General features: G+C 37.4%; 1 long non-coding RNA gene and 1 pseudogene across 1 annotated transcript in view; both read right to left on the bottom strand.

Annotated features, from left to right (window-relative positions):
- Positions 1 to 507: 507 nt before the first annotated feature.
- Positions 508 to 26,672, bottom strand: part of LOC105377202 (uncharacterized) — a 51,278-nt gene continuing 25,113 nt past the window's right edge. The window contains exons 2-3 of the long non-coding RNA XR_001740804.1: positions 2,276 to 2,414; positions 508 to 1,383 (exon numbers count right to left, since the gene is read on the bottom strand). This is a non-coding gene — a long non-coding RNA (uncharacterized LOC105377202). The remainder of the gene's footprint in view (positions 1,384 to 2,275; positions 2,415 to 26,672) is intronic.
- On the bottom strand, positions 8,024 to 9,954 carry ABCF2P1 (ATP binding cassette subfamily F member 2 pseudogene 1; annotated as a pseudogene).

Raw genomic sequence — 26,672 nt, 5'->3', positions numbered from 1 at the left:
GCAATAATAAATGTTGTGAAGATATTTGAAAACAATTTATCTCATGGGATAAAATAATAATTTAGATTTTCATGCCTCAAACATTTGATTTAATATACATTTTTAGAAAATAAAAAGATTTACATTTATTGTTCAAAGCAATTTTTGGTTATAATATATTTTACACAGCAAATCAATAATACTATTCCCACAACATAGATTTTTACACGTGGCATAAAAGAATCTTTAGTTTTACTGATCCAGTAAAAAGTCTTTAGTTAAAAGAAAATTGAAGTTTTACCATGAACAACTGTCAAAATTTTAGAACTATTTATTATAAAGCTGTTGGACAGATAATACAAACAGGCTTTTAACTCAGTTATAGGACATTATAACACAGGCAATATTTCTACATCATAAAAATAATAGTAAAGAACAATTATTAAAATCCAGAATATTTAAATCCTTATTTATATTTTTAAATAAAATTAAAACACATTTAGGGAAAGTACATACATACTTTTAAGGATATAATATCGATATCATTTATCCACCTGGATTTTGTGAAATTCTTACTCTTCATTGTCATATTAAGCCTTAAAAATTAGCTTTCTTTATTTCAGGGGGATTAAGTAGAAATCTGTCTTCACTGTTTCATTCGCTCTAGTGGTAGACATTAAATCTCCTTCTTGGAATTAAATGTCTTACGAATATGTAAAAACAGAAAAAAATATTTTTGGTGAACATTTTCTTGAATAACTTTGTGTTTCTAATGTAATAATCTGTATGTTATCTTTAAACCACTTGAAAGTATCTTTGGGCTGAAAAAGGAAGATGGACAAAGATCTGTTTCAGTTCTGAAATGCTATGATATCACACTTCAAGTCTTTTTCTTAAATAGCCTTAAGAGCTCTTAACATACTTTTTTCCCTAAAGTCAATGGAGATGTGATATCTTTTATCCATTGAGAATGTTTTTAAATTACCCACTAGTTATCCAATACCAAACTTTATGCTAATTGTCAGTAACCAATTCATTGTCAATTTTAGACACGTATGATGTGAGAAAACATGAAATAAAACTCTTCTTCCAGGCCTCATAATCTGCCTTTAAAGGCAAATCCTGAGGGTGCTCTAAATTTGTTTTGTAAAAAGTAATATTATTGGAATATTCACACAAAGTTACTACTTTAAAGACAAAAAAAATTAGCATGGTCTATAAATTATGTACATTTGTTAAAATAAATATTGCCGCTGTAGAAAGAAGGTAGAATCACTAGTGGAAACAAGGGTGAGAAAGAACACAGGAGAAAGAAAGAGAGAAATCTGCACTGCATTCAAAACCCAATTCTACAACCTAATAGTTGCCTTACCTCAGAAAGTTCCATACCTTTCAAGCATCATTCTTCTCTCATATATTTGTTGTGAGAATGACAAAGAAACATATGAAAAACACTTATTATTACTGGGTTCTTTTACCTTAACACTGAAATAAACAATAATACTGATCCCATTTTTATTGAAGCTTACTACATACACACATTTTCAGGGTTGTTTGTGTTTTTTTTTTTTTTTCAGTTTTTAAATTCTTTATAAAGAAGCTGCATGGACTCATCTGTTTAGCAGCCAGTACCTAGAAAGTTGGTCATGTATCTTGAGTATGGGTTACTTTCTGTGCTAGTGAATCATAAATCTATATTAAAGTGAGTCCAAAGTAAAAACTGTCAGTATAAATGTACTGGTTAAAGATTTACAAAGTTTTGGGGAGAGCCGCCTCCATACGGTTTTGATTCTCCACTTCTTTATGTCTATGCCTCTCCGTGGAGCTTGCCCTCATCTTCCTTCAAAACTCACCAAAGTGAAAATAAATCTCCCTTCTGAAACTGTAAGATCGCATTGAGCAAAACTCAGCTAGTGACTTTGAAACAAACTGGTACCAAGTCATTTAAGGAGGTAGGTCACAGATTTGTGTTGAGCTATCTCTTGTTTCTGCTGCATGACCCAGCCGGATCTAATAGTTCTGCTGCTTCTAAGCCATGCTTAGGGGCCATAGGAATCTTTGTTGACACTGCTCTTGGTCCCTCCTGCCAAGCCATTCTACCCTTTGATCTTGCAAACTCTCCAGCAATGCTAATTGATACAAAGAGCAGATTGTTGCAAATCTCACTACCTTGAAATTTCTTCCTCAGCTCCTTCCCCAAACTTCTAAATAATGGGGAAATTTTTCCAGTGTGGAAGGGAAACACCACTCTACAGTACAATGTGTTCAACATATTTTGTCTATACCCTTGAATCACCTTTTTTTTTTAAACTCTTCCATCATTTCTTCAAATTCTTCTAGACTTCAGCTTTCAGAAAACAAAATCCAGACAGACTTGGAGTCTCCTTTGCATTCTGTCCATACCTGGTCTGGTGTCCACAGTGGAAAAATGCCTCCTAAACAGACCAAAGTAAAAGGAAAATAGAACATAGAAAAACATACACAGATTAACATTGTAAAATTGTATTAATCCACAAAGGTATCATTGCACCTTTTTAAAATTTCACTGAAATCATTGGAAGTATATGAAGCCTCTTAAGAACTCCTTACTGTTCTTATCCCAATGTATTGTTTTTGCTTTTGTAAGTAATTATTTTAGAACCAGCTGTGATACCCTTTATTAAAGTCTGTGATAAAAATGGCCCCTGGCTTAGCTGTTTTTGCTTTACCAAATTCCACATTACAGAAAACTGGGTAGAGAAGCAAATAACATGGTGAGAAAAGCCTGCCTTCTGCCTCAACTAGTCTTACCTCAAATAGAACTGCAAAGGATGCTCAATCCATTCTTTACTTGAAGTTCAAATTGTATATAATTCCTATACTTACAAGCCCATGGGTTTCACCTATTTCCACACCTAAGTATATTACTGTACATTGTGAATGTTCCTTCTGTATCTTCAACCCCTCTTTTTCCCCTGATTCCCTCTGTTTAGTATGTGAACTTGAAGTACAAGTCTTCCCTTCACCCTTAAGCCCTGTATTAGTCCATTTTGACACTGCTATAATGATACTATCTGATACTGTGAAATTTATAAACAAAAGAGGTTTATTTGACTCACAGTTCCACATGACTGGAGAGACCTCAAAAAACTTACAATCATGGTAGAGGTGAAGCAGAAGCAGGCACCTTCTTCACAAGGTGGCAGGAGAGAGAGAGAGTGAAGGCAGAACTGCCAAACACTTTGAAAGCCATCAGCTCTCATGAGAACTCACTTGCTATCATGAGAACAGCATGGGTGAAACCATCCCCATGTTCCAATCACCTCCCACCAGGTTCCCCTTCGACACGTGGGGATTACAATTCAAGATGAGATCTGGGCGTAGATACAGAACCAAACCATATCACACCCCATTCACCTTCAACCTTCACAGCAAAACTTAATGAAAATGTCTATAGTCTGTCTCCAAAATCTCTCCACCCCTCTTTCTTCAAGCCATCACAATAACTAATACTTTAAAGAAGCAGCTCCTACCACGGCAACTTCCTCATTGCTATATCCAGTGTAAGCTCTTCCATTCTTATTTCATTTCTAACTTACTGTTTTCTGGTCTGTGTCCTCTATTCAACTATTGGCTCTACAAGGGCACCTATGTATAGTGACATGTAATGGTACTCCAAAACCCGTTGTCTAATGAGTGCACAATAGAAAGGAACAGAAAGCAGTATTCCTATATAACTCATAATTTCCAGGAAGAAAAATACATTATCTTGTAGAAAAAAATAATAATTTTGACCTCAGCCTTAAAGTAATTTACATATGACTAGTATTTTAGTTTGTCTTATTTTTGGTTTTGTTTTCTTTTGCTGTTTTGCTATTGCTACTGCTCCTTGTTGATATTGCAAAATATTTCTTTCTGGACCTTAGGGAGGACTTTTCAAATATTCTCATCAAACTTCCATACCCAATATTCTCGGGAACTAATTCCCCTGTAAGAAGAACAGAACACCCTATCAAATCATTCAAAATATTTAGCTGTAACTACTGTTTGTCAGGCTCATCACGAAACAATCCTGATATTATAAAATTTCAAGCTATTTTACCTTGGTGATTATATTACTTTTGCTTTTACAGTACAGAATTCTCATGGCATGGTAATGTCTCATGTTCCATTTCATAATACAAGTATTTATTTTTATAATAATTCAATGGATAGTACACATTTAATGGAACCAAACTGGTGCATAGACATAGATACATATATATACGTATACTCAAGAAAGGAATCCAAGCTGGCAAAACTTTGTTTTTCATTATCTATGAATATTATTTTTATATTTGTTTTCTGGTTACCCTTTTCATAAATAAAACTTTCACCATGTCACCATTAATTTGATAACATTTCAAAAGTAATTAAAAATAAATGTAATAACATGTATAATATTTAGGAGGAAGGAAGAAGATACTACAACAAAAGAGAGGGAATTTCAAATTCTAAAGAAGGAAAGATGCATTTTTTTAACTTTCTTCTGATTTGGAAATATAAGAACCACAATGATCAATTTTGTCTCTCAGATAAAAAGATCACCAAAATAATTTTAAAATAATATTATATTGACAGTAAATAAATAAATGTTTACAAATAAATTCATTGTTTCAGTTAAACTCTTTAATTCTAATTCCACCATGATCTTCTATTATCTCCCCAAGTTAGTGTTGGGGTGGATAGGGAGTGAGGTGGGAGAGAATTGTCTCCATCTGTGTAATCACTGTTGACCTCACAAAATGTGGAGGGAGAGAGAGAAAGTGGAGGAAGCAGGTTCATGTAATTCATGAAATTAATATCATTCATAACTTTCCTTAAACAATTCCTTTTTATGATTTTCAACTCCAAAAAATACATAAATTTGATCATCTCATTTCTATCGCTAGTGCCCCACTGTCTATAGGGAGTCACAGCCCGAATTACAGACCCCAGGAGGGTTAGGCTGTACCTCCCTCTCCTATCCATAGCCAGGGCTGCAGCAGTTTTAAAACATCTGCCTGGCTGCTTCAGGCCCTCTCACATTTTCCTGCGTCTCCACAGAGTAGAACTATTCAAGACATCTACCTTTCCTAGGAAGGCTTCTAGCCCTCACAAGCACTCCCTCTTCTCTGCATCCTTGCCAGACCTCTGTTATTCCACAGATCATGTTGCAAGACAAATGTTTATTTCCTGTCACTTAATTTCAGACCGCTGAAGGGAAAAAAAAGAGTGGAAAATGAATCATCTGTGTATCCTTGTGATCAACTGCAGTGTCCTGTATAACCCAATAATACTAAAAGAATGAAGATAGCAAGTTTATGATCTACCTCACTTCACAATTAAGCTGATATGATCTAAACCAAACATTTATTAATAATTGAAATGTCAGTAGTCAAAGATATAAATAACACTCAAATGTGAAGGGTAAATGATAAAAGGAAGCAGGTCATTGATAGAGAGGGCACAACGCTTCTCCTGCCTTTGGTCCCATATCCACTGTGATCTCCCCCTTAGCTTTTTTTCTTCTTTGTTACCCCTCAGAACAGTGTAATACTGTGTTTTCATGTGACCCTGAGCCTTCACTGAGCCACTGGTGAGCACTGTGTTAGAAGCCTCTTCCTAGACTCTATCATCACCTGGCTATGCATTCACCACCACTGAGTAAGGCAACTCTTGGAACCAAAAACCCTGAGAAATAAGTCATAATATAACCTTTCAATTGTATTAAGTCCTCTTCACACTTTATTCAGATGTTGAAGAAATCAAAAAACCTAGAGTCTGAAAAAGTGACACTAGGACTTAGAGACTTTCATCCCTAGACTTAGAGAGTGATATGGTATCCCCAAGCCTCCTGTGTGATCCAACAAGGCAGATTCATATTCTAGTTCTCCATGCAGGAGGACTCAGCAGGGAGGCTTCATCTGACAGCCTGGTACACTTTTGGTTACCTTTGTCCTCTAAATCTTACCTGTAGGTGTAAAAACAAAGGTCTTATACATTTTCTCAGAAGTCTGTATCCACGTGTTCTCTGCCTGAATGTATTTTCTCAGTCTGGCCCTAGATCCTCACCTCTCATTCTGTCTCTTGACTAGCTGGATGGTAGAATAGATTCAGCTTTGTGTGAAGCGCCATGAACAGCCTAACCCTAAACACCCCGCTCACATAAGCTCCTCCAATTATGTGGACCAGGGCAATTTCTAAATAATCTCTGGGCTTACACATCACCACCACATCAGTGACCAATCAAGGCTATGCCACATTTCCCAGACAACACATTCTGTAGTTCTCTATTACCTTGTCTTGCCTGATTATCTGTAACATCCACATTGGCTTGGAAGCTCTGTTCCCTTTGCTTTCTATGTCTCTTTCTGCTGAATGTGATTTTATTATTTTGTGCATTTAAGCAACTCTGACCCTTCTTGATTCTCTGTGGGGTGCAGAAGCACCACCAATGCCTCCCTTCACTACCAAGAGCATAGACCTCGCACCTTGACTACTCTTGTGATTGTGATTCACCAAACTTTGACATTTACTCAGTTAACCCTCAATTGTCTGAGCTTAGGGAAAGTGTGGGAGTATGGTAAATATGCTCCTTTACATCAGTTCTTTCTTTTCCTGTATATACATACTTTCTTTTTTACTGTGATAAAATACATGTGGCCAGATGCTGTGGCTCACTCCTGTAATCCCAGCAGTTTGGGAGGCCAAGGCGGGCAGATCACTTGAGGTCAAGACTTCGAGACCAGCCCGGTTAACATGGCAAAACCCTGTCTCTACTAAAAAGACAAAAAAAAATTAGCCAGATGTCGTGGTGCACACCTAAAATCCCAGCTACTTGGGAAGCTGTGGCAGGAGAATCGCTTGAACCCAGGAAGCGGAGGTTGCAGTGAGCTGAGACAGCACCACTGCACTCCAGCCTGGGCAACAACAACACTCAGCCTAATATATAAATATATATATTTTACATATATATGTGTATATATATATATGTATTAATAACATAAAATTGACCATTTTAACCATTTGTAAGTGTACAGTTCAGTGACATTAAGTACATTCACATTGTGCAACCACCACTGCTACCTGCAGGATTCTTTTTATCTTCCCAACTGAAACTCCATACCTGTGAAACAATAATTCCCCATTACCCTCTTTTCCAAACCCATGGCAAATACCATCTGACTTTCTGTTTCTCTGAAGTTCACAACTCTAGGTACCTCATATAAGTGAAATCATACAGCATTTATATGATTAATTCACTTAGCAGAATGTCATCAAGTCTCATCCGTGTTGTAATATATACCAGAATTTTCTTTCTCCTTAAGGTTGAATAATATTTTATTGTATGCACAACCCACATTTTGTTTATCCATTTATCCATCTATGGGCACTTGGGTTGTTTCCAGGTTTTAGCTATTATGAATAATGCTGCTATAAATTATAACTATACCTATATCTGTTGGAGTCCCTGATTTTTTTTTCTTTTTTAGGGACCATGGCTTCCTCTTTCTTTATTGGGCACTTTGTAGCTGTCATGCAGGTATAAAAGTTACACTGTTAAATAATTATTTAAAAACTGACCAGTACGAAAGTCCTTGTCCAGAGCTCCAAACCAGAAGCAAAAAGGAATGGGGCAGTGGACTGGGGGGTATTCCTCCCACATCACCAAAACCCAGAAAACGAGGATCCTAAGCTCCTCCCCGGGCCAAATCTAGGGCTTGGGGCCTTGGGCTAACCCGCAGGTGCCTCTGACTGCATCACATTCAGAGTAAGGTAACCAGCAAGGGGCTGGAGGGAACGGCCAGCCGAGTCCAGACATGGACAGACGTAACTGGAAGGAGGACAGGAAATGGACAAGTACTGTCCAGCTGTAGGTAAGAAAGTGCAACTAAGGCAGGTTGAGGGGCAGGGGAGAGGCTGGAGGGGCGATATTGCAGCAATGCAGGATGCATAGCCCTAGGGTCCAGTCCTGAGCAGCTGGTCAGGGTAGCAGCTGTTAGTTCCCAGATGGAGATCCTGATGCGAGCCCGGGTAGAGGTCTCACACGCTGTGGGTCCTCTTGGTGAGTTGGGGCTCCTCATCCACCAGCTTGGACTTGAGGTGCAACTTGTAAGCCAGGATGTCTCCAGGCCACTTGGTGATTGTCTGCTTCTCACACACCCAAATTTCCTGTGCAACCTGCTGAATGAGTCTGAAGTCATGGCTGACCAGCATCATACTACCCTGAAACCCATTGATGGCATCTGCCAGGGCGTTGATGGTCTCAATATCCAGGTGATTGGTGGGCTCATCCAGGAAGAGCATGTGGGGGTTCTGCCAGGCCAGCCAGGCCAGACACACTTGGCACTTCTGCCCATCTGACAAGTTCTGGATTGGGCTCACCTGTTGTTTCCCAGTGAGACCATATGGCCCAATGATCTTCCTCATTTATTCCTTTTCCTTGATCTCTGGGTAGCACTTCATGTACTCCAAAGTCAAGAGATCTAAGTCCAGCTGCTCTTGTAAATGCTGATGGTAATGCCCTATCTTGACATGAGAGTGTTTTCAGATCATGCCATCTGGGGGTAGTAGCTCTCTAGTTAACAGCTTCAGAAGAGTTGACTTTCTTGCTCCATGGGGCCCTACCAGAGCCACTCGTGTGTCAAGGTCAATTCCAAATTCTAGATCATTGCAGATGCAAAGCCCATCTTTTGTATACTTGAAGCTCACATTTTGCACCATAATGACAGGTGGAGGGTTCTTGCCACATGGTGGGAAATAAAATGACAGTGTCTTGTCACTCACGACCCTCTCTGTCAGTCCTGATGACATCATTTTCTGTAGCATCTTCTCCTTGCTCTGGGCCTGCCAGGCCAGCTTGGCACTGCCATGACCAAACCTCGCAATGTAGTTCTTCATGTGTGCAATCTGATCTTGCTCCCAGTGAAACCTCTTCATCTGGTTCTCTCCTCCAGCTCTAGCCACATCTTCACATACTGATCATAATTACCCATAAAATACTTCAGTTTCTTGTTGTGCATGTGAATGATGTTGGTACAGACACCATTCAGAAAACCCTGGGAATGCGAGGCAAGGACTAAGATATGCTGAAAAGTTTTTAGTTCTTCTTCCAACCACATGCAAGCATCTAGGTCTGGGTGGTTGGTGGGCTCATCCAGGAGGAGCATGAAGGGCCGAATAAAGAGGGCTCTGGCAAGGGGAACCCTCATCCTACAGCCCCCACTGAAGTCTTTTAGCTTCTTGCACTGCATGGCAGGTATGAAACCCAGTCTGTGCAAGATCTGTGAGGCCCTCATCTCTGCCTTATCGGCATCCAGCTCCTCCAGGTGCTCATAGAGTTCCACGAGCTTCTCACACTCCACATCTTCATGAGCCAGTCACTCTGCCTCCCTCTCCAGCATGGCCGGCTCTCTGTCGACTTCCATCACGCACTGCAAGGGTGTCTTGTCACTAGGGGGCATCTCTCGAGTCAGATGGTAGATGTCGATGTGCTCAGGGATGGGCACTCCATGTTTCCCAACAGCAGAGAGCAGCATGGAATTTTCAGTTCCATTTAAGCCAATGAGGCCATAATGACGGACTGAGTTCAATTCCAGTTTGGTGTCACTGGGCAGCTCTTGACCGTGAAAGGTGAGTGAGAGGTTGATAATGTGAACGTCAGTACTGCAGGGATGGGAGGCCAGGATGCCAGTGACAGCTCGAGCAGTAGCTTTCTTCATTTCAAAGTCCTCTAGCTCCTTGGTCAGCAAATCCACTTCTGCGGTGTCTTTGCCATTGGCCTCATTTCTGCCACCTGTGGTTCTGTGACAGCGTCTCCATTTTCTTCATGTCCTTTTCTGGGCTGCTGTAGAGCTTTGGCAGACTCCTTCTTTTTGGCAGCCTTCTTCTTGGCCAGGTCAGAGGGCATGATAATGACCCACAGGGTTAGGTTACTGTTATTTCAGGGAGATGGGCCTCGCTGCTCGGCCTCTGAGTCCCTGATTTTTTTTATTGTTTTAGGTATATATACCCAAAAGTGAAATTCTTGTATCATATTTTAATTCTATGTTTAATTTTTTGAGGAACTGCCATGCTGTTCACATTTCTTCTTGTATCCCCCTGTACTCCAAAATGTCTCCTTAGGTCGGTGTGAACATTTTAATATAAACAATGAGGGCAACTGTATTCATTATTTATGGCTGTGTGTCAAATTACCCTCAAAATGTGGCAGCTTAAAACAATAAACATTTATTATCTCAGTTTCTCTGGGTCAGGTCTGGTTTCAGCTTAGCCGGGTGCCATTGACTCAAGGTATCTTGCAATCAAGGTATTAGCAGAGACAATAATCAACCCAAGGCTCAACTGGGGAAGAATCTACTTCCAAACTCATTCATACATCTAGTTGGGAAGTCTCAGAAGATACGTTTCCATGTTCCCTCAGATGGCCATTGGCATGCACCAGGTTCTCACTGGATGTTGATTAGAGATATCAGTTCCTTGACACATGGACCTCTCCATAGGCAGCTCACAATATGCCAGATAAGTTGTTTTCTTCAGAGTGAGGACTCCTGGAGAGAAGGAGGGCAGGAGAAAGCTTGAGCAAGGCAGTCTTTTCATAACCTAATCTTGGAATGGCATCGCATTTCTTTTCCTGTATTATAGTCATTAGAAGTGAATCATTAGGTTCAGCAAACACTCGGGGGAGGGTATTATACAAGGATGTAAGTACCAAAAGGCAGAGACCGTTGGGGACCATTTTAGAGGCTGCCTACCACAGAAAGAAATGTGTTTTGCTTTTGTTTTCATTGCTGTAATCTAGAACAATTAGGATCTAGAAAATAACGGTTTAATAATGAATGAATATTAGTAGCAATGTAACATCTGAGCTTTCACATTTTTATATGGCATTAGAAATCAGAGAAAACTTAATATAGTATACCCTAACTTATGATGCTTTTAAAAACTGAAATATATCTTTATCTTTTTTATTGTTACATTAAAAATCAGAATCAAATTTAGCATCTCTCCCAAAAGACATGAAGAAAACAATACCATGTACTGACTCCTTTTGTATATTTCCTGGTATTCTGGTGGAAACTTTGTCATTGTATGACCTATGGGAATAGATAATATGGTTGAAGATAATGCAGTCTATTTTAAGAATTTTACATCAGTTACTAAAAAGCTTTTATGCTCCAAGTTAAGGAAAGCAAAGAATATTACACTAAATATATGCATGCTTTTATTCTTGGATTCTTTTTTTCAAATGTCATATTGATCTTTGCAGGAGACTTTTATATTACATCAGTAATAATAAGGAAAAAATATGTCATTATTATCATAGGCTGCTATATTGGGTACCAAAGGTATATCTAAATATGCCCTTAGCCCCTTAATTTTTTGAAATAATGTTATTTGGTGTTCTTTTCTAAACGAATTACTTTCTATACTCAGAATTTTATAATTGGTGATAATTTATTAGGTTTCCTGAAAGTTGTTAGGTATGTTATACCATGTACTCCCTATAAATATGAAAGATGTATTATTGTATTTATTCAAGAGCCATGGGCCGGTTTAAGGAGAAAGCTGAAGTGCTTAGCAGCAGTGCATTGGACGATCCCAGAGAAAAAGTTGTACAATACACTTTTCAAATCTTTCCAACAAAAAGGATATAATTCTTAGCCAGACAAGATCATAAGCTATGACACGTATGTTGTACTATGGATATAGAATGGTAAGTTCCACCTATTAGCCAACTCAGATCAAGTGAAAGTGATAATTTTAAGGAATGTATTCAAAGTATTATGAAACCACTCCCAGGTTTTAGCATATATATGTAGGTTTCAGTTAGTAGTGACTGCCAGTGGTGTGGAAAAAGAGAGCAATAGCAAAAGGTTTATTCCTCTTGCTGTATGTTGTATGATAATGACCACAATAAAATGGCATCATATATTTATCTTATACTTCATAGTTCCTAACACAGTTAATGATGAAAAATATTTTTGGATTTTTTATCTCAATATTGAGTACTCCTAAATATTTATTGTACTTAATTTATAATGAAGCAAACTCTAAAATCACCTCTAACTCTAAAAGTTTACTATAATATGATAGAAACTTGTACCAATGTTAGTTTCAATAAATAAAAACATTTCTTTCATTTTAACAATAAAATGATATTGTATCTAATAACTTCTCAAATTCTGACTTTGCTACTTATTTTTTAAATAATTCCACAAACACATATTTTTTTAGCTTCTTTGATATTCCTAACTCAATAAGACTTTTAAAAATCTATTGGCACATGCCTGTGGTCCCAGCTACTTGGGAGGCTGAGGTCCTGGGAGCGCTTGAACTCAGGAGGTTGAGGTTGCAGTGAACCATGATTGTGCACTACACTTCAGCCTGGGCAACAGAGCAAGACTCTGTCTCAAAAATAAATAAATAAATAAATAAAGTATTTGATCTCTTAAATCATAAACTATTCTAAAATTTAGAATTCCAAGTATGTGAGTTATAATCCAAAATTATGCTAATTATTACTAAAATTTCTTTAGAACTTCCCAACTTTGCTATAAGAACACATAGATACACCTAGAAGGGTCCAAATTCAATTTGTTCTGTTCATAGGAAGTAAGTTTTACCTCTGCTTTCTCGGAGGGTTGATAGTCAATATTTCAATTGAAATGCTGTAATTGTTATTGTTTTAAATTTGGGGGTATTGATTTAAAAGCTGAATCACTCACTTATAAATGATTAAAGATTAAAGCCTTAAAATAAAAACATAATTCCTTAAGAAATAATATTATGAAAGAAATGGAAAAGAGACATGATCAAGAAAATCCAGGTCCTTTATTATCGCTTAAAACTTAAAACAATAAGCATAGTTCTTGAGCAACAGATAGACTGTCATAGTTCTAAAGTCAAGAACTAAGAATCTCAAGCAAGGGTTTTTCAGACTCAACAAAGTTTATATGATAATAGTGCAATTTCAAATTGTATAATAAAAATGTTCTTGGTTGCTGTTGATTAACCTACCAAAGTACGATTCCCAGTGCGAATTTTTTTTAACTTTCTCACATCTTTTTCTTGCATACATGGTAGTGACACTCTTTTCATATTGCAGTTGTAAATCAGCTTTAAAACCTGGTGAGCTACAGAAGCCCCATCCTTTGGTCATACTATGAATACCCAAGTTCTCTAGAATTGGTTAAGGTAGATCCGTAGTCCCTTGACTGACTCTTAAGTGCTTTCATGACTAACTTTCCACACAAGGCTTTCTTATTACCAATACTTGGAAAGAAAATGAGAAGTGCCAATTAAGGTAACATTTCTATTGATTAAAAGAACCAACTATTAATGTATCATTTATTTACTAGAAAATAATTATATTTTATTTTATATCATTTTACAATAAAAACTTTAAAACACATTGTGATTGTAAACTTGGAAGAGGCATTTGATAGAGGTTCTTAAGCTAAATTACATAAAGTTTCTAGGCTTCAAGGTATCTGTGAACTTTCTGAAACTGTAAGATATTTTATGTTAAAGAACATGTTTCTAATAACATCCAGAGAGAGAGAAGAGAAAGACAGAAGTGAAGGATGAATGACTCCGAGGTTAGTAGCATGAGCAACAAAAAGAATGGAACATGCCATCAGCTAGGAAAGGATGATTTTCAGGTGAGCCATTGTGGAAGGGTGGGTTCAGGTGTTCAGTTTTATATGGACTAACTTTGAGATGTGTATCAGATAAACTAATGCCACATGAACTAACTTCACAGAGAGGCACAAGATGGAAAGAAAAATAAAACTCCAAAAAATTATGTAGTGTTCACATAAGTAATAATGCTATTAAGGATATGCTACAAAAATGGTAGGACACCTTTCCTGAGATTTGTGTAAATATTAATCTAATTTCCCTCTCAGGTACATTTAAAAACCAAGACATCAGTTTTGCCTTTGAAAGAGAAACCACTTTCTTTCTATATGTGTTTTTTATTATACCAATGATACACAGCTATTAAATATGGTTATAAATATTTAACCTATTAATGGTTGTGTTACACATTATAAATAGCTTTATGAGCTCACCAAGCATGGTAAGTGATATACTCTGGTTCCCCAAGGAACCATGGATAAAGTCACTGCCACAGTGGACGACATTATGTGCATTCACCAGTGACAAATGAGTGCTATGTCAGTTACAGATACTATATTGAGTTTATTTTAGTCAGGAAAGTTGGTGACAAAGAGAAGATATTGTGTAAACTGATCTTGTCTAACTGATAGCATACTAAGAAAAAAAATTATTCTTTTGGAATTAATTTTACACCACAGTAACAAAATAGTGTGGCTTTTTTTAAAAACTCCTGAAATTAATGTAAAAGAATGTGTCAATGGCGTTGGTTATTCAGGACCCCTACATACCACATTTTGAACTCTTCTACTCTTATCCATTTCTTTCTTCTTTGTCTGCCCTCATTTTTTTTTTCTCTTCCTTTTCGGGGGGATTTCTCTTGCTTATACTTAGGATCACTGCTAAAGGGTAAAATTAATAAGTCATCTCTGCAAACAGCTGTAGCATAACATGCAAAAGGGAAGACAAGCCAACTTGACAGAGGTCCAGGTCTCTAGGCACAAGCTTTGTGGCCTTGGGTTGGGTAATTAATTTTCATGAGTCTTGATTGTGTTACACACATCCATTAATCTCTCTCTGTATCAGTTTTCCCATTCGTAAAATAGAAATAAAGCACCAGCCTAGCATTGTAGTGAAATTAAGTGAATAAATGTAGAGAGTTGTTTAGTGTAAGCTACTATACTAATATAATTAATATAATACACTATGGTAATAATCACCGTTTTCTAATTGAGATAAATATGTGTAAAAGCACTGCCAGCTAATTATATTATTTAGCCCTCAATTATTGAGCTCCAAGTCTGGAGCTCTGTATATCAGCCTCTGCACTGTGTATTTATGGTACATAATCTGCAATCTTTACAGCAACCCAGAAAAGCAGGTTTTACTTCTCCATTGTACAAGAAACTAAAACCGAAATGCAGGTAAGTGATGTGCTCAAAGTCACACAAATAGAATGTGGCAAAGACAGAAGTTGGCCCCAAGCCAAGTCTGCCTAATTCCCAAACCTATGCTCAATCCCTCACCCACAGAGAGTGGCGAGATGACCAGTACACTTGAAGGAGCAGCCCACCAGCTTAGTCTTGTGCCCCAGCAAAATTACAGGAATGTGTTGAAACTCACTGTTCTCATCTATAAGATTACTCTACACAATCTTCAGGAACCCAGAAAAATAAATTCCCAGAATGAGTGGGGATTCTGGGATCTGTACTTTTCTTTAAATGTGGTTTGTTTTTGCAAAGTCAGTTACCTAATTAAATCCTTTGCCATTCTCAGATTATTCTCATGAAAAAATTGACGTCAACACAGAGAAAAAATGTCCTTAGATCTACAAAAGCACGAGAAAGCTGTCTAGGCTACATAAACTCTGTTTGCTCTTTAATTCTGTCCATTATGTGCTTTAAACATTTCCCCAAGAAAGTGAAATTACATGCTATAACAAAGACTGCAATGTATTTTTATGTATTTGAGTTATCTGTTTATGGTACTTTTAAAGAATACTTTATTTGCTATTTTAATAACAAGGAATTATTTTCTAGTTATCATTCCCTCATTTTTACATTTAATATGGATGAATAAACTTGATTTAATGTGTCACTTCTGCACAAAGATATGAATGTCCTCCGGAATTTAAAGAAATGAAAAAGAATTTGTGTTTCTTACCTTCATTATCAGTACAACTAGTCTTAGAGTCAATATATCTGGATTATATCAAGCCTCTTTCAGTTGTTCTTAGATTACTTGTACTAGATACAAAAATTGTCTCATAGCACCTAAAATCTATATTACAAAATTCTTGCCACTTTTTTTTATTAATGCAAGGCCATTTATTAGATTTTTGTAAAGATACAAGGATAAATTAATTATAACTCCAGCCCTCTGATGTTCTTTGAAAGATAGCAGCAATACCTTTGGAAATTAGATGCTGTATTCACAATTCAGGACAGCTATGGAGACTACATAATACATTATTGTAGGAGCATTCACAATATATAAAATTAAAGTAGAAAATTAAAATAAGAAATTTTTCTTGTTTTTGGTTAAAGATGAAAATTAATGCTGGATACAAACTAAAACACTAAATAGATAAATCAGTATAACTCCCTGATCCCTGCTACATATTTATAATTTACAAAATTTCTGTTAATTTTGTGACAAAGTTTCAATTTCATAAGAACTCTCACATTAACTGAATTACTGTATTTGAAGTAGCAAGAGATTTTGAACTATAAAACATTATGTTGATTGATTGTGATACTCAAAAGTGCTTAACACTTATTTAGCGCTTTACATTCTCAAAGCACTTTACAAACATTAACGAATTAATCATGTCACTGTGATGTCAGGGAGGTGGTAGAATTACCATTCCTGAGATGAAGGAATTAAATAAAGTGGCTTATGACAATGAAAGACTTTAAAAGTCTAAATATTGAAACCTCAGTAAATACCTAAATGACTAGAGCAGTGAGTTGACAGTATATGATATAAAGAAAGCAGTGCAAGTTAATACAATATTGCAATACAATCAAAGCCACCTTTCAACTGTGGCACATAGAGTATATGGCCATTGCTGACTACCCATACATCCCTACTAACCTTTGCTATTCTCAAAGAGCTATTATAGAATTAATTCTGCTAATATTTTAAAATTATAACATCTTCATAAACAAAATGCCCTGTGAATTAAAGCAATTTGTTAATGAATTTTTGATTTTTCATTATTAATCATGTTTTAGAAAAAAATATCAACTACTAGAAACATTTTTTTAAAATCGTTTTAAAAAGAACAATGGTAGCTAAGAAGTCTAAGTTATTTCCAAGGCAGAATTTGTTACTGACAACTTTCTAAAATACTATCAAAAAGTTTATAGATTCTTAAAATAATGCCAATCAGAAATAATTACTATTTAAGTTTTACCAAATATTTTTATTGATCAAAATCCAAACTGGTCTTCTGAAATCACAGATACATATTTTAGAAAAAAATTTAAGTAGATATAGATATAAATATAGACACATGCATAACACATACATATACAGACATATATGTATGTGTGCGTGTGTGTGTGTGTGTGTGTAGACTGGCCTCCAACTAGGCAGCCACAATCAGAACATTTTCAGTAGTAAATTACACTTTGTGTGATTCCCTTCTTGTTCAAAAGTTAAATAGTCCTAGCTTTTGAACTTTGAGTGAGCCCTTAAGTGTCATCTGAATAAACCCGAAGAGAGGCGTTTATGTCATTAGCACCATCACAAAGTATACCCTCTTATCAATTCAGATGCAAAGTTGTTTCAAATATTTTCTTTTTTAGTTTCAATTGGTTTCATATCCTAGCCAAATAACGGAAGAGTTCAGATCTTGAAACCAGAGGAAAATAAAAGAAATATTAAGAGCATTTGATTATTTTATCACAAGATTAGGAAAACCATCTGCATTCAAACCTTATTCTGAATTTAGGGGCTTCATAATGACCACAGAGTTACTGATATTACAGTCTCGTGTGGGTTCATAACACTGAAATAAATAGGAGATTGAAGGAAAAGGAAATGCAAATGGACAATATGCAAACATTTGGAAGATATTCTGCCTTATTAGTATTTAAAGACATGTAAAATAACGTTACCGTAGGATTGACAAAAATTGAGAGAATGCCAAAACTTAGGGATGATAAAGGTGCAAGGAAATAGGCCCTCTCACAGACTTTCTTCAACTGAAATGAATCGAAGCCTTCTGTTTAGTGATATAAACAAAAAAGCAAACAAACAAAAAGAAAGAAGCCCTCTAGGAGACAAATATTTGTCCTAGGATGTTACTAAAGCATCCTTTGTAATGGAAAAGAAAACAAAAACTAATTATACACCAATAAGGAAATAGTTGAACAAATTATGGTATAACCATATTTATCAACACAATTCCATTTTTGAAAAGTGTATTATATTTGTATATATGTGGATACTTTTGAATAAAATTTTTAAAAATTTCAAATATAGGCACAGAATATTACTTATAGTTACCTCTGGGCGTTGAGATTTTAAGAATAGGAGTGGGCAGAGAAGCTTTTCACTTTTATTACTTTAATTATTTTTAAGTCTTAAGTTGTAGGTGGTTTTGGTTTGTTTGTTTTATTAAATCAATAAAACAGGGAAACATTTTAAGACTAATATAATTTACATTATCTTCATAAGTTTGTGACTTGATTAAAATTTTGGAAATTGATATTACCTTTTAAAAGTGGTAGAGAAAAAAATCTAATAATCAAGAAGGTGTAATTTGGGATTCTATTGGCCAATTGATAGCAACACCTAAAATTAAACTTTTTAATAAGGTAATAGAGAAACAAACCCCTAGTCTATTCATCATATTACCCTATTTCCCACATTAGCTGCATTTTGAAGATCCAACCTGGTTTTATTTTAGTTTCTCACTTCTTACAGTAATAATTTGTCACTGAATTTTGGGGGGATGTCAATATGATGACGCAGTGCCAGGCTGTCATGGAGCAAATATACCCCAGAATACCAACTCTAAACGACAGAGAATGCTGACATGTTCATGCTTCTGTGAATTCCATGTCTATGTCAGCCCTAAATTGTACAAAATTAAGCAACAAAGCTAAAAGTTCGTTAAAAGTACTTTTTAAAAATTGTTCATTTATTTCCTAATGACATGGAAAGATCTGTGCCTTTGATTTTTCAAATGCCAAAAATATGGCCCACTTAATTGATGTATCGATCAATGGCAATATTTGTTTTAAATATAGGTACTGTATTTTAAACATATGTACACGTGCATACTACACATTTGGTTAGCTATAGAGACGAAAGATGATAGATAGATAGATAAATAGACAGACGTAGAAAAAAACAGATTCTTGTCATATGACCAGGAAAATCTAGGCACGTGGACACATTGTATGGTGGGTAGGGCAGGGTTTATTGGGTGAAAGGAAGAAAGGAAAGAGGGACTCTCAGCAAAGCCAGACAGAGTCCCGCTGCAGGACTCCCGCCTCACGGTTTGATTCCCAGGTCACCACCCAGGAACTGACCAGGCCAGGCTCCTTCCCATTGCAAACGCCCGGAACTTCCCAAGGCTCCACCCCGTCCTCCCAGTGCGCAGGTGGGCATTATTCAGAGAGAATCAGTGGGAAAAGGGCCAGCTTCATCCCGGGACCAGCAGTCCGGTTTTTCAGCCTTCAGGCTATTTTAGGCTTTAAGGCGGGGTTTCACCGGGGATCCTTGGCTGTCTCCTGTCTCTATCACAGATACACTGAAGATAGATAGATACACAGATGAGCTATGGCTCATCTGAAATTTTTCAGCTGCTCCTTACTTACTTTTCTATACCTTAAAATATCAATTGAGTTTTGACATTTAAAACTTTTTTAAATAAAGAAAAATAATTAATGCATACTATAAATTCTGCTCAATTTTGCTATTTTTTATTCTAAAATTCTAAGATAAATTCTGAAAAGACGTCTACAAATGTGTTAAGATGCACAGATTCTATCACAATGGAAAATAAATCAACAGATATTCTGAAGAAGAAAAATGAAAAGTGGAAGTTTTTTTTTTTTTTATGAAATGCCAGGAGGTTGTGTTTGTGTTAATGAGAAACATTATCTTACCAAAGAATGCTGGTATTCTCATTTCCATTTATATAGGAAATTGATTAATACTTAACTAATTGGCACATGCAAATGGGGATTAACTGAATTCACTTTTCTCCACAACTCAACGACTGTAATTTAGATCCTTACTTAGATTTAAATCTTTTATTATTTTTTAAGGTAATCATCTTCCTGTTGTTAGAAATAAAATATCAAAGCACCATGCTAATTATAGCTAGTGTCTCACAAATTAGCTAATTAACATTACTGAAAAGCAAATGTACAGTGAGCAAAGTTTAAACTCCTGAATTGGAGTCAAGCCTTTATGCAATACAGTGTGAGATACATGCTATTGAATGCCATTGGGTCAGATATACTTTGGAGCTAATAACTGTAGTCAGATATTTAGTTTTTCTTCAACTAAATAGCTTATTCTGATGTTTCCATGCAATTCCACCTGCGAACTTCTTGTGATTAACTCTTCTAGACGGAGATGTGAGGTGGGAAAACAGAATGATGCTCATGACTAGGAAAAGTCATCTTCAATAAAATCTCAAAAGTTCTCAAGGCATGCATGACTTGCTTGGGAAATTATAAAACCAGTTGTGTTCATAATTTTGTGTTTGCTAACTAATATATTTCAATACCTAAGATGCTGGCAACAATAATTCTTTAGATTCAGGGCAAAAAAAAAAACTGTTTAGCAGTTAATTTAGAGGGAAATGGCTAGAAATTCAAAGTTCCTGAGTGATGTGAACCTAATTCATTTGTGTGCCAATTTAATCTATGGCTGGATAGTCATGTAGAATCAGGGCATGTTTGGAGGAGCAGTTCTAAAGTAAGCAGGGATACGGTCGTCATCAGAAGTATTAGAAACAGGGCTTAACCATGACTATTTGCATATTGAATGTTTATTAAGCAGTTACTATGTGTCAGAGAGTATATTACAATCTTAATACCTGTGAGTGAGAAAGACTGATGAGACTATGACCTCAAAGAGCACACAGACATACAAGAGACAAAACAAATGTGTAAACGCAAAAATAATTAAGTTAATTAACTGTTGGAGTACATGCAACAAACAAAAAACCAGAAGGTTGAAATAACACCAAAGTAAAAAGACTGACAAACAGAAAGATCTAGTCATGGAAGAAACAGAACAAACGTGATTTCAGTCAGATGTTCTAAAATGCAGAAGAGCTTGATGTGACCAAGGGGCTGAAAGAAGTTCATTATGCTGAAGTATAGTGAATAGTGAGCAAGAGAGAGAATAATATAAAATGAAGGTGTAGAAACAGGAGCAGAGCAAGGCCACATCAGGCCTTCTCAACTTTACTAAAAAGGCTGATTTTATTTTAAGTTCAACAGGAAGACATTGAAAGTCTTTAATATGGGGAATGATATGAGCCCAATCTACATTTGGGAAGGTCAGTCATGGGACGAAGTGAGCAAGAGATTGTGGAACAGCAAGAGCAGAACTGAGTAGACCTATGAAGACTGTATTCTATAGACTTGGTAAAACATGGCAGTGGTCTTGTCTCTGGTGGTAACAGTAAAGATAGAGAAGAAAGAATGACTCCAGATGCAAAGTGTATTAATTAGTCCATTCTGAAAAAAAAAAAAAACCACCAGAGACAAGATAATTTCTAAAGAAAAGAGCTTTAATTGACTCATAGTTCTGCATGGCTGGGGCGGTCTCAGGAAACTTACAATCATGGTGGAAGGCAAAGCAGAAGCAGGCACCTTCTTCACAAGGTGGCAGGAGAGAGTGAGCATGAGTAGGGGAAATGCCAGATGCTTATAAAACCATCAGACATCATGAAAACTCACTCACTGTCCTGAGAACAGGATGAGGGAAACACCCCCACGATCCAGTCACTTCCCACTGGGTCGCCCCATGACACCTGGGATTGTGGGGATTACAATTCAAGATGAGATTTGGGTGGGGCACAGCCAAACCATATCACAAAGTTAGCAGAAATCACTGATAGAGAGTGAATTAAAGGAAGCATCATACATACCTAGCTTGAGCAACTGGGTACATCATAGTGCCACCTGGTAAGAAAGAAAAATCTGCATCTAGTCAGGGAGACAAAGGAGCATTCAGAGTGAGGAATTAAGGTAGTCATGGCCAGCCCAAGAATAAGGCTTAATTCGAAACCCTAAAGACAAGACAGGAAGCTGAAGTGGCTGCAATTCTCTTTGCCCAGAAATTACACTCAGGTGGAGTGAGAAATGAGGACTGGGCTAAGGAGAGATGGCGGACACCACTGGAGGCATACATGGGAGGTGACTGAACAGGGGAAAAGCTGGACATACAAGGCAAAGGGCATATGAAACCACAAGTTCTGGACTGTCACATGAGTCTAGCACATTCCATTCGGAAGAACACTGTGATGGAGCCCTGACATGTATCTTAGTGTACCATAGGCCCAGGCTGTACCTGAAGGGCTCACACTTTAAAGAACAGCCAACCTTTCTGAAACTCTAAAAGGTGTTCCATATTTTTGCTTATGAGAATACTAAGGTCTTGAACAATTTGCATTACTCCAACTTTGCACAATGTAGCCCTAATGCCACATCTTAATTCTCGGAATCCCTGATGTAGCCCTCTCACAGGCCGAATGTCTGGATGAATCAGACATTAGAGTGAGATTAGAGCCTCACTCTAAGCACAGAAACCCCAGTCAGGGTCTCACTCTAATCAGAGAAAGCCTCAGACATGTTTGTTATATGAACAGTTTGTTTTGGGGGTTCTCATCTCTCACCATCCTCTTTTTCTCATTTGCAGTCTTCTACCCCTTTGTAAGGTGTCCATTCAGCTACCTCCAATAAATAGCACCCTGCTATTTTCTGACATCCAACTGGACAATGTACCACACTCCTTATTTGTCCTTTCCCTGTCCCCTATAAAAATGTATGCATCAGTGTTCATCTGTCTACAGCCTTTCTCCTTTTTTTTTTTTGGATTTTTTTTTTTTTTTTTTTTTTTTTTTTTTTTTTTTTTTTTTTTTTTAGTATTTATTGATCATTCTTGGGTGTTTCTCGGAGAGGGGGATGTGGCAGGGTCATAGGATAATAGTGGAGAAAAGGTCAGCAGATAAACACATGAACAAAGGTCTCTGGTTTTCCTAGGCAGAGGTCCTTGCGGCCTTCAGCCCTGTTTGTGTCCCTGGGTACTTGAGATTAGGGAGTGGTGATGACTCTTAAGGAGCATGCTGTCTTCAAGCATCTGTTTAACAAAGCACATCTTGCACCGCCCTTAATCCATTTAACCCTGAGTTGACACAGCACATGTTTCAGAGAGCAGGGGGTTGGGGGTAAGGTTATAGATTAACAGCATCCCAAGGCAGAAGAATTTTTCTTAGTACAGAACAAAATGGAGTCTCCTATGTCTACTTCTTTCTACACAGACGTAGTAACAATCTGATCTCTCTTTCTTTTCCCCACATTTCCCCCTTTTCTTTTCGACAAAACCGCCATGGTCATCATGGCCCGTTCTCCATGGTTGCTGTCTCTTCGGAGCTGTTGGGTACACCTCCCAGATGGGTCGGCGGGGCAGAGGCGCTCCTCACTTCCCAGATGGGGCGGCTGGGCAGAGGCGCTCCTCACTTCCTAGACGGGGTGGCGGCCGGGCAGAGGCGTTCCTCACATCCCAGACGATGGGCGGCCAGGCAGAGACACTCCTCACTTCCTAGAAGGGGTAGCGGCCGGGCAGAGGCTGCAATCTTAGCACTTTGGGAGGCCAAAGCAGGCGGCTGGGAGGTGGAGGCTGCAGCCAGCCGAGATCACGCCACTGCACTCCAGCCTGGGCAACATTGAGCATTGAGTGAGCGAGGCTCCGTCTGCAATCCCAGCACCCTGGAAGGCCGAGGCGGGCAGATCACTGCTGGAGACCAGCCCGGCCAACACAGCGAAACCCTGTCTCCACCAAAAATACAAAAACCAGTCAGGCATGGCGGCACGTGCCTGCAATCCCAGGCACTCGGCAGGCCGAGGCAGGAGAATCACGGGAGCCCAAGGCAGGGAGGTCGCAGCGAGCCCAGATCACGGCAGTACAGTCCAGCCTCGGCAACAGAGGGAGACCGTGGAAAGATAGAGAGAGAGAAGAGAGAAGGGAGAAGAGAGAAGGGAGAAGGGAGAAGAGAGAAGGGAGAAGGGAGAAGGGAGAAGGGAGAGGGCTCTACAGCCTTTCTAGATAATCCAATAAACTAATCTGTGTTCAAGCTGCCAATGGTTTAAATCAGAGGATGTTAGTAGTGGCCCTCTGGAGAAACATGGCTTAACCAAAATGTTAAGGGCTAATTCTGGAAATAGCTCTTTGTAGGAAATTGAACGGTAAGTGGAAAGCAAGCCTTTTACATCCTTAAAATTAACCACATAGAAGGTTGTCTCACCCTGCTTTGGGATGAACTTTAGCCTTAAAAGTAAGCTTCCCAAATTACGGAATGCTTGTTTGAAGAAAGACGGTTTGCCCTAAAAAAAAGAGAAGGGCTTTCAATCATCATGTGAGTGCAAAGAAAAAAAATTGTTACTGGAAAAGGAGCGAAGGCTTTGTCTTTGACCCAGTGTCCCACCGAGTGGAAACGTTTACTTGGGATTCCATGCACAGGTCAATGTACCACAGAAGCCAAAATCAGTTCTTAAAAACAATAACACTAACCACAAGCCACCCAAGAATCAGAGACACTTTTATACAGCCCAGTTTCTTCCCTTGCAGGCTCATTTTCAAGGCCACATGGGTTGGGGGAAAATTGTGCATCCCTGCTAAAGTGGTTTTTAGTCTATAGTGAATGCATTTTAGTCTTGACATATTTTCCAATTGGTAAAGGGAAAAAAAGTCAAGCAAATTTAAATGTACAAATAAAATTTGCCATCGTCTTCAAAACGTAAGAGAGAGTGCTTAAAGAGCAAGCTTTATTTTGGCTATTTGCACTTTAATTCTCCTTACCTAAATGATGGGGGTGTTGTTCAAAAAGAATAGAAAATAGCCTTCCTATAAAAGATCCCAGCATAAAAGATTAAATATGCATCCTACCTTTAATACCTGACTGGTTCCTAGCCAATGCACAGCATTCATTTCTTTCAACTTGACTCCAAGAAGACTTCCTGACCACCATAAATCATTTGCTTTTGTTGCATTGTGCTGATATTGCAACTTTATTTTCTAGGTACTCTGTTCATTACATCTCTCCCCAAATCAGTTCCTCAGCCAATCTTCTACTTCTCTTATATATTTTAATACAGTATCATTTTTTAAATATAATGAATAAATGAGCAAATTAATGAATAAAAGAACAAATGAGGCTGGATGAGATGGCTCATGCCTGTAATCCCAGCACTTTGGGAGGCCCAAGCAGGAGGATTGCTTGAGGCAAGGAATTGAAGACCAGCCTGGGCAATGTGGCAAGACCCATTCTCTACAAAATTTTTAAAAAAGGAAACTTAGCAGGGTGTGGTGGCACTTGCCCGTAGTCCCAGCTATTCAGGAGGCTGAGGCAGCAGGAATGCTTGAGCCAGGAGGTTGGAGGCTGCAGTGAGCCATGATTGTGTCACACACTCCAGCCTGGGCAACAGAGCAAACACTAACTCAAAAAAAAAGAAGAAGAAGAAAGCATAAGTGAATAAATAAATGAATCAAGGCCATTAACTGCCATAAATTCAGATGAACAGCTGTTTACATAAGTGTTACCCTTTGATTTACAAGCTACCTAATTGAAAATAGAAATAAAACATAAGAAGAGTGAGTTACAGAGTTCCATTTTTTTCAAGATTAGTCAGACAACTAACTTCTCTGGGTACATATTAGATACTTTGGAAAGGTCTTTCAGACCAGTAAAATACCATTTGGTATGCTGAACTAGTCATTTACTGAGTAATACTCTGTATACGTAAAAAAGTCATGTAACGTTTACTCTTTTGTAATCATAGAGCAGCTAAGGCTCTGGGAAGTACAAACTGTCTTTCAGAACTACAATCAGCAACAAGCTACATTTCCAATTTTGCAGAGTCACAAGAAAAAAAGGATTATCTTTTGTAAAATGTTAATAGTCCAAATGTACCTGTATGGTTGCACATCCAATGAAGCTTCCAATGTATTCTTATTTTAATAAAATGCTATTTTTAAGGAGATAACATAAATAATTATCTAATACTTTAAGTGACATAAATTGCATTTAATAAGTTCTAGAGTATTATTCATATTATTCTCTTCAAAAGCATTAGCTCACTTAATTCCCACAACAGCCCTAAGATGATGATACCATCATTATCCCTAATTTACAGATAGGGAAACTGAAGCGTAGGGAGAAAAACCAAGCTAATTAAAGCTAGAGCTGAACTTTGACCCCAATTCTATTCCATTTTTGAGCTCAAGCTTACAATCATTAAAATATATTCTTTGTTATATGCATGGTTATATACATAACCACAAGAATGTTAAGTTTACTTATCTGTTTGGTACACCAATGGATCACAAGTGTTTATATCAATGCCTATCACACATAGTGGGTACTCAATAAGGATTTGTTAAGTGCAAGAATGATAAATAATGAGGACTACCTTGGATCAATACTATGTCAATAATCTCATATCAGTTCCGGACTCAATTAAGTTAGAAGCAAGATATTAACCTGAAACAAAAAAGTGTTAAGTTGTATGGTAGAATTCCTCCTGTCAATCACATGTTTTGATAGTTGCCTCATCATCTATGTAGAGTAAAACTTTTTAGAACATTGATGGTAGGTTAATTTATGATCTCTGTCCAGCATTTATGATAAACGTTAGAAAAACAAGATTATTTTTGCTTTTGTTGAAACCATAATGATTACTATGGTAGGCTTAAAACACATACAAATAATCAATTAAGGACAAAACTCGATATACTGCAAATAGCTATTAAATAGAGTAGGAATTTAATGTACTGAAAAAGAAGACTCATGAACATAGTTTCTTTGAGCCAAAATG

The sequence above is a fragment of the Homo sapiens genome, chromosome 3 (genome assembly GCF_000001405.40).
Source record: "Homo sapiens chromosome 3, GRCh38.p14 Primary Assembly".
NCBI classification, from domain to species: domain Eukaryota; kingdom Metazoa; phylum Chordata; class Mammalia; order Primates; family Hominidae; genus Homo; species Homo sapiens.
Note: the sequence above shows the minus strand (reverse complement) of the source record. Positions and strands in the feature narration are given on the sequence as shown.